At 44.5% G+C, this 8,149-nt stretch overlaps 1 protein-coding gene across 1 annotated transcript; it reads left to right on the top strand.

Moving 5' to 3' along the window:
• The first annotated feature begins 736 nt into the window (after positions 1–736).
• S100A12 (S100 calcium binding protein A12) lies at positions 737–2,647 on the top strand. The gene is made up of 3 exons (NM_005621.2): positions 737–806; positions 1,746–1,903; positions 2,391–2,647. Exons 2-3 carry the CDS (start codon positions 1,766–1,768, stop codon positions 2,529–2,531), a joined length of 279 nt encoding a protein of 92 aa, NP_005612.1. The 5' UTR covers positions 737–806; positions 1,746–1,765; the 3' UTR covers positions 2,532–2,647.
• The last annotated feature ends 5,502 nt before the right edge of the window (positions 2,648–8,149 follow it).

The raw sequence follows: 8,149 nt of genomic DNA, 5'->3' as shown, positions 1-8,149 counted from the left end.
CCTGGGCATCTGTTGTCCCTTGCTGCCTCTCTGTGAGTAATAAAGTTGCTTTACTAAAACTCGTGTGAATGTTCTGTCTTACTGAACTCATGAACATGGTAAAGTAACCTAGGCATGGTGAACTTTCTTCACACACAATGATTACCCTACTCCAGCTTTCTAGGTCTTTGTAACAGCCAAGTTAGAAAGTTGGGAAAGCAAAGGGGAGGCATAGTAGCATTGCTCTCTCCTTTTTTGAAAACCTTGGAATCTATTTTGAAAACTGATCCTCTGCTCCAGTGATGAACTTTGCATCCCAGAACGACTTAGGAGGAGGTCTCCCTACCTATCTCCTTAGCTGCATAAAGATCTTTAAGTTGATATTCCATTTGCCAAAACTGAAGAGCTGGTAACCTCATCTGTTAAAACAAGACACTCAGGCTGTAAAGTTTGTTCTCCTAGTCTTTTATTAGGGAGCAGTGGAGTAGAGCTAAACCTGAAACCTGGGCCCTGGCTCAGGGCTAAAAAAGGTTCAGGGCACCCCTGTGCGGGTGGGTGGAGTGGGGGTGATTTTGTTTCAGGCTGAGCAGGAGGGCAAAATTCAGTCTGGGTACAATCTGGGCTGCTCCTGTGGCAGCCTAAGCCACAGGTTTGAAGCTTCTATTGAGCAACAGAGTACTTTACATAAATTGCCTCAAGATGAATCAGAGATTTCTTCACCCAAGGGCTAAGATGAAGCCTGAACTGATTATAAAACCTTCCTTGGCTCAGTGCCCTTCACCACTGCTGGCTTTTTGCTGTAGCTCCACATTCCTGTGCATTGAGGGGTAAGTGCATTTTCCTTGGATGGGTTCTTAGGTGGTCCACAGGGTAGTGACTGCAGGTGACCACTTTGAAATCACAAGGTGTTGGAAACCACAACCCTCCACTTGCCTGAGCACCTCTGGGGTGATATTGCATTTTGGACCCAAGTAGATCAGCTCTTGTTGTGCTATGTAGACTCAGTCCCATGATTTAAGAATGGCTAAGCAGGCCGGGTACGGTGGCTCACGCCTGTAATCCCAGCACTTTGGGAGGCCGAGGCGGGCGGATCATGAGGTGAGGAGATCGAGACCATCCTGGCTAACATGGTGAAACCCCGTCTCTACTAAAAAAATACAAAAAATTAGCCGGGCGTGGTGGCGGGTGCCTGTAGTCCCAGCTACTCGGGAGGCTGGGGCAGGAGAATGGCGTGAACCCGGGAGGCAGAACTTGCAGTGAGCCGAGATCGCCCTACTGCACTCCAGCCTGGGCGGCAGAGTGAGACTCCGTCTCAAAAACAAACAAACAAACAAACAAAAAACCCAAAACAACAACAACAAAAAAAGAATGGCTAAGCAGGGGTGGGTTATGGACCATTTGTGGGGGATATGTGGCCATAGTGCCATCACCTGAGGAAAGCAAACAGCCTGGCCAATCACAGAACCCTTCCCAAGGGACCTTGAGTAAGCAATACCCTCCAAGTTATGCACCCCGGTGGATGAGGTGGTATGGAACATGGGCAACTGAGGCTGATTTTTTTAGACGTTAGACAGTATTATATGTTTTCTCCTCCCCATCCTATCCACACATGAGAAGTTCACCATGGATCAAACAGAGCAGAGACCACAAAATAGATATGGAGGATGTTATGTTTTCTTTAGGCCCTTGATTCAGAAAGAGAGGGGAGAGTGGAGGTTGAGGGGTGGGGGAGAAACTGCCTCTAGACTTCCCTTGTTTCCTTGAAGGTTAACATTAGGCTGGGAAGATGACAAAACTTGAAGAGCATCTGGAGGGAATTGTCAATATCTTCCACCAATACTCAGTTCGGAAGGGGCATTTTGACACCCTCTCTAAGGGTGAGCTGAAGCAGCTGCTTACAAAGGAGCTTGCAAACACCATCAAGGTAGGTGATGCCCCTCTCACTGCAAACTTGCCCATGACCCTGCACTGAGGGGAGTGGCAAGGCCTGGCAGAGGATGGTGGGACAAGGACTGGGGTGGGGTTGGCCCCAGTTTGAGCTCCCAAAGGATGCTCTCCCCGCTGCTGTGGGAGAGGTCCTTTGCTTCCCTCTCTCAATAACTCACTTAAGGCTCTACTCAGTTCCTCTCTCTGAGTCTGTTTCCTCATATGTAAAATGGAGAGAGGCAGGGCACGGGAGGGGTTGAATGAGTGAGCAGAAGAGTACCTTCCAGGTCAAGCCTTGTTAATTCCAGGGTGGTTCATGACCATTGTGTTCTCTGTTTTGTTACACTGGATTCTCCAACACAGTGTTGGCTAATGAGTTAATGTGCCTGGGCCTTCACAACCCGAGCTCTGAGGGATAAGAGGCCTAAGAAAGGGTCTTGTGTGGAGGTTCTGAACTCAAGGTCTCTGTTGTCCTTTTTTCCTAGAATATCAAAGATAAAGCTGTCATTGATGAAATATTCCAAGGCCTGGATGCTAATCAAGATGAACAGGTCGACTTTCAAGAATTCATATCCCTGGTAGCCATTGCGCTGAAGGCTGCCCATTACCACACCCACAAAGAGTAGGTAGCTCTCTGAAGGCTTTTTACCCAGCAATGTCCTCAATGAGGGTCTTTTCTTTCCCTCACCAAAACCCAGCCTTGCCCGTGGGGAGTAAGAGTTAATAAACACACTCACGAAAAGTTCTGAATAGTGTCTGTGAACTTTTTTCTTTCCATGCCTGCGGTTCCCAAACTTGATCACACCTTACCCCTGCTCTTCTGGCAGTCTGATTTAGATCCCTTAGAACTCCTGCCCCATTTGTTCATTTGATCACCAATTATTTATTTATCGAATTATTTATTGAATGTCCACCATTCATTCATTCATTCACTCACTCAACAAATATTCTCTGAGCATCAGAGACCAAAGACACAAAGTCCTTGTCCTCTTAGAGCTTGCATATTATTTGGGAGAGAATAGAAAATAAATAAATAGACAAGCAAATAAAAATATATTGTATGGCTGGCCATCATGGCATGTGCCTGTAGTTCCAGTACTCAGGAGGCTGGGGCGAGAGGATTGCTTGAGTCCAAGAGTTTGAGGCCGTAGTGTGCTATGATTACACTTGTGAATAGCTATTGCATTCCAGCCTGGGCAACATAGAAAGATCCTGTCTTTAAACACATATATATATACACACACATATATATATGTCTTTAAACATATATATATGTATATATATGATATATACATATATATGTGTATATATGATATAATATAATATGATATGACATGGTGTGATCATATTGATACAATAGTAGTTAATGATAAGTTATATGAAGAAAACTAAAGTAGAGAAGTAGAGTTGGGGTGGAAAGGGAAGGAAGGTGATGTTGGTTTCGATGGGGTGGTCAGGGTATACATTTGAGCAGAAATCTGAAAGAAATGAAGAAGAGTGACTTGCAGCTATCTAGAGGCCAAGAGTTCCTGGCAGTGAGTAGCCAAGGCTCTTGGTGGGCACATACCTGACCTGCTCAAAGAGTAGCACAGAAGCCAGTATACCTGGAGTACAGTGACTGAAATGGGGAGTGGTGGGGAATATGAGCCTGTAGGTATCAGGAAGCAGATAACAGCAGCTTATAGACCATGGGGAGGACTTTAGACTTTATTCTAAATGTGCTAAGGAGACACTGGGGGGTTTTGACCAGGGGAGCGAAATGATTCTATTTATGCTTTGAAGGATTACTTTGGCTGCTTTCGTGGAGAACAGATTATAGAGCACAGGCAAGCATGGAAGCTAAGAGATCAGCTAAGAAGAGATTCCCCAGGGCAATCCTGTCTAAGAGAAATATAATATGTATAACTTAAACTTTACTAGAAACCATATTTAAAAAAGTAAAAATAAAGGGGAATTAATTTTAATAACATTTGGTTAACCTAATAGATCTAAAATATTATTACTTCAGCTATATAAAATTATTGTTGAGATAGTTTACATTCTTTTCTTTCATTTTAAGACTTTGAAATCCAAAGATTCACATATGACCATGTTTCAAGTGCTCAGTAGTCATGTATAGATCATGGCAACCATACTGGACCCCGAAGCCCTAGATCGTTTCAGAGATGGAATGAGGCTGGACTAGGGTGGTGGTAATGGTGGTGACAAGGGGTGGTCAGATTATCAATACATTTTGAAGGTGGAAATTGAAAAATCAAGGATTACTCCAAAAGTTTTCCCCTAAGACACTGGTCTGGATGCTAGGGATACAGAGATGAAAGAAGAAGTCCTTGGCTTAAATGTTCATCTCTGATTGCGGAAGGCCTGAATCGGGAGGAATCCCTATGCCATGTCATATATGTTTTGGCAGAAGTAAGTATACGATGTTGTGGGAGAATAGAGAGTGACCCAGCTTTGGGGGTGCACTGGGGCCAGTTAGGCTACCTGAAAGAGTGGACACATGGTCATAAAATTTGGGGCAGAACTTTGAAAGGGGGGAAATGATATAGAATTTGCATGTCTGTGGGCATGGGATAGTGAGAAACACTCTCTTTAGTTTTCTTAAAGAAGGAAAGGGATGGAAAGGAGTTGGGAAGAACAAGGAGCAAGTGACCAGGGAGAAGAGTATTATGCCCTGTCCAACATAGGGTCAGGGGAGACTTCCCTGACTAGACTCTCCACACTAGTCCAGGCCAGGTTCTTTGTTTAACAGTACCGTAGGACCATGCTGCTCTCCTTTGGTGCTCTTGTCTTCTTTTGTGATTCTGGATCCATGGCCATGATTATTTGTTTAATATTCATCTTCTCTGATGGACTAGGTTGTTAAAGAGCAGGTGCTGAATCACTGTGAATCACTAGCACAAGCACAGTGCCTGGAAAGAGGTGGTTGTTTGCTATGAGTTGAATATTTGTGTTCCTGTTGAGATTCATGTTGAAACTTAATCCCCAATGTGAGTATTAAGAGGTTGGGGTTTAGGAGGTGATTAGGCCATGATGCCTCCACCCTTTTGAATGGGTTGATGCATTATGAAAGGGCTTGAGGAGGCAAGTTTTCCCCTTTTAAACCTTCCACCATGTGAGGACACAGTGCTCCTCCTCTCTGGAGGAAGCAGCAACAAGGCGCCATTTTGGAAGCAGAGAGCAGCCCTCACCAGGCACCTGAACCTGCCAGCACCTTGATCTTGGACTTCTCAGCCTCCAGAACTGTGGGAAATAAATTTGTGTTGTTTATAAATTATCCATTCTATATTTTGTTATAGTAGCATGAGGACACTAGGACAATGTTTGATAAACATTTCTTAAATGAATAAATGTGTGGAAATTGATAAGTCTGTTGGCTTGACTCTCTATAACTGGCCCCAGGGAAAATATGAAGAAGCATGGCCTCAGGGACAGCTGTTGGGCCCTGGTGAAAAGTGCAATTCAATCTGATCAGCGGAAGTCACTGGAAACCTCCCTGTCCTCCAACCCCTGACTCCTCCAACCAACCACTAAAGTTAGGTCTGGCACTGATGGGGAGCATGAAATCAGAAGTCAGCCCCAGTCCCTGTTTAGTGGGAACATCAAGATACACACAGAAGAGGCAGCAGGGGCAGAGCCTTGGGCTCTGGTAGACCCTCCCGTGGCTGCTCCCTCTGTAGCGGGATATTTTAAAAAATAAGAGAGACCAATGGGGTTGAGGAGGATATTTATTAATTATTTAGGTGAACCGGTCCAGTTGGATTAACATTCAAAGGACTGAGCCCTGAACTATGAAATCAGCAGAAGTCACTGGAAAGTCATTTCCACCTTCAAAATGTATTGATAATCTGACCACCCCTTGTCACCACCATTATCACCACCCTAGTCCAGCCCCATTCCATTTCTGAAATGATCTAGGGCTTCAGGGTCCAATATGGTTGCCACGATCTATACATGACTACTGAGGACTTGAAACATGGTCATATGTGTGAGATGTACTAGAACTGTAATACACTGGATTTCAATTAATTGAGACATGCGTTACATCATTTCTTACTTTTCAAGGAAAAACACGTTTTATGACTTGAGTTTATTTGTCTAGTGACCTTGCAGCTGCATAGCTAGAGAAACAGGTCTTCATAATGCCTGGGAAAGGAGGAAAGATAAGGCTCACTAGCTACAGAAAAACAGGCAGTTAATTTTTAAAGGACTCCAGCTCTTTCTCCTTCTCAGGGGGAATTGGGTTTTCTTACATACAACTGAGTTTCTGCTTACACATTCTTTAATTTCTTTTAATTCCTGTTCCACCTCTGGATCTTCTTCAGCAGCAGGGGCAGGCCAGGTGGCAAAATTGAAGAATTTTAGAAAGGTTAGATACCCTGCTGGAGGTCAGGCAAGACAGATGTGAGGAAAAGTGGGAAAGGGGGCTTTTTACTGCAGGAGAGTGGGTTTGACTTTCGGCTTATTTACTGTGAAGCCATGTGGAGACAGTGTATGGGAAGCTGGGATTCAGGACAAGTGACAAATGATGAGTCCTGGGCACATGGTCTTGGGGTGAAGCTTTGCTGACCACCCCCATCAAAGGAAACAATTGCAGTTGTGTGGAAAGTGTGCGAGAAAGTAGAAGCCTGTAGATGGGGTTGAGGGGAGAGCCTGAAGATGGGGGTGAAGTGGGATTGGCAGAAAAGGAAGGAATGTGTGACCCAGGGAAGGGAGTCCTGGAATGGCCCAAGCCTGGAAGGCTTCTATCACCAAATGTGAATGAGAATGTGAGAGCATTTGGGGAAAGCCTTCCCTCACTGCATGACCTTGGCCAAATCACTTTGCCTCTCTGGGTCTGTGTTTTCTTTATTTTTGAAGAATTCAAAGGAATTTTAAACATCTATTTTGGAAAGTTTTAGACTAGGTGAATACTCAGGTGTCACCCAGTGTTAGTGCTCTGAGAGACCTCAGTTGGATAGAGGGGAACTTGGTGCAGGGTCTAGAAGGAGAACATCACTTAGTGAGAGGGTAGGAAGGAGGATGTCCCTTGGTGCTAAAGAGTAGCAGTCGAGAGTGTGAGGCTAGAAGTTATGCTTCTGTATTCAAATCCTAGCATTGCCACTTACTAACTGTGAGACCTTGAACAAGTTACTTAGAATCTTTAAACCTCAATTTCCCCATCAGTAGCATGGGGATAACCACAGCACCCCTCTCCCAGAGTTGGTGAGAGGATTAGGTCATCTCCTTTTTTTCCTTTTTTTATTTTTTTATTTTTTGAGATGGAGTCTTGCTCTGTCTCCCAGGCTGGAGTGCAGTGGCGCGATCTTGGCTCACTGCAAGCTCCGCCTCCCGGATTCACGCCATTCTCCTGTCTCAGCCTCCCGAGTAGATGGGTTTACAGGTGCCCGCCACCACACCAGGCTAATTTTTTTGTATTTTTAGTAGAGACGGGGTTTCACCGCGTTAGCCAGGATGGTCTCGATCTCCTGACCTCGTGATCTGCCTGCCTCGGCCTCCCAAAGTGCTGGGATTACAAGCGTAAGCCATGCGACTGGCCAAGATTAGGTCATCTCATAGCACATGGAAAGCACTTGGCACAGTATCTGATGCAGAGTAAGCACTCAACAAACATTAGCAATAACAGTAAGATAATAATTTAGACAGGAGGTAACGATTGTAGCTGACCCACCCTCTGCCACAGCACAATAGGTATAGATTATTTTAAACCAAAGCAGACTGAGGTTATATTTAGGGGTGGCTTGGATAGTTAAAGTTGACCAGTGTAAGATAAGGAACCAAGGGAAGTTATGCAATATCTTCCTCTAAAGGCCTTTGAACTAGACCAAGCTGTTCTGCAAACTAGGCCACTCCCTTGATGCACTTACCTTGATTTGGGACCACTTCTGATATATATAGTAGTATTAGAATCTGTTAAAAAAAAAAACAACAAAAAAACCAACAACTAACCGATGAGAGCAAAAGTCCAGCACATTTGCTATTGTGAAAACATTCACCAGCTGTAATTTTGTTTCCAAATAGCCCACTGAACCACAAATTGAACTTAAATCATGGCTAGAAAAATTTTAAGGGCTGCTAACCTTGGTCAAAATCCATCAGTCAGCGGCACCTAAGGACAATGACAAGGGCCCTTGACTTGGAATCAAATGAGCTTGGTTAGACTCCCAGCTCAACTGCTTGGCTCTGTGAGTTTGGGCGAATGGCTTCCCTTCTCTGAGCCTCAGTTTTTTCATGTATATAGTGT

Source organism: Homo sapiens, chromosome 1 (genome assembly GCF_000001405.40).
Source record: "Homo sapiens chromosome 1, GRCh38.p14 Primary Assembly".
Taxonomy (NCBI): Eukaryota; Metazoa; Chordata; class Mammalia; order Primates; family Hominidae; genus Homo; species Homo sapiens.
This window is presented reverse-complemented; position numbering and strand designations above follow the sequence as displayed.

Coding starts and splice junctions, on each gene's coding strand:
- S100A12 (NM_005621.2), top strand. CDS start 1,766: ATGACAAAACTTGAAGAGCATCTGGAGGGAATTGTCAATATCTTCCAC. Junction 1,904..2,390: donor AGCTTGCAAACACCATCAAG/GTAGGTGATGCC, acceptor CTTTTTTCCTAG/AATATCAAAGATAAAGCTGT.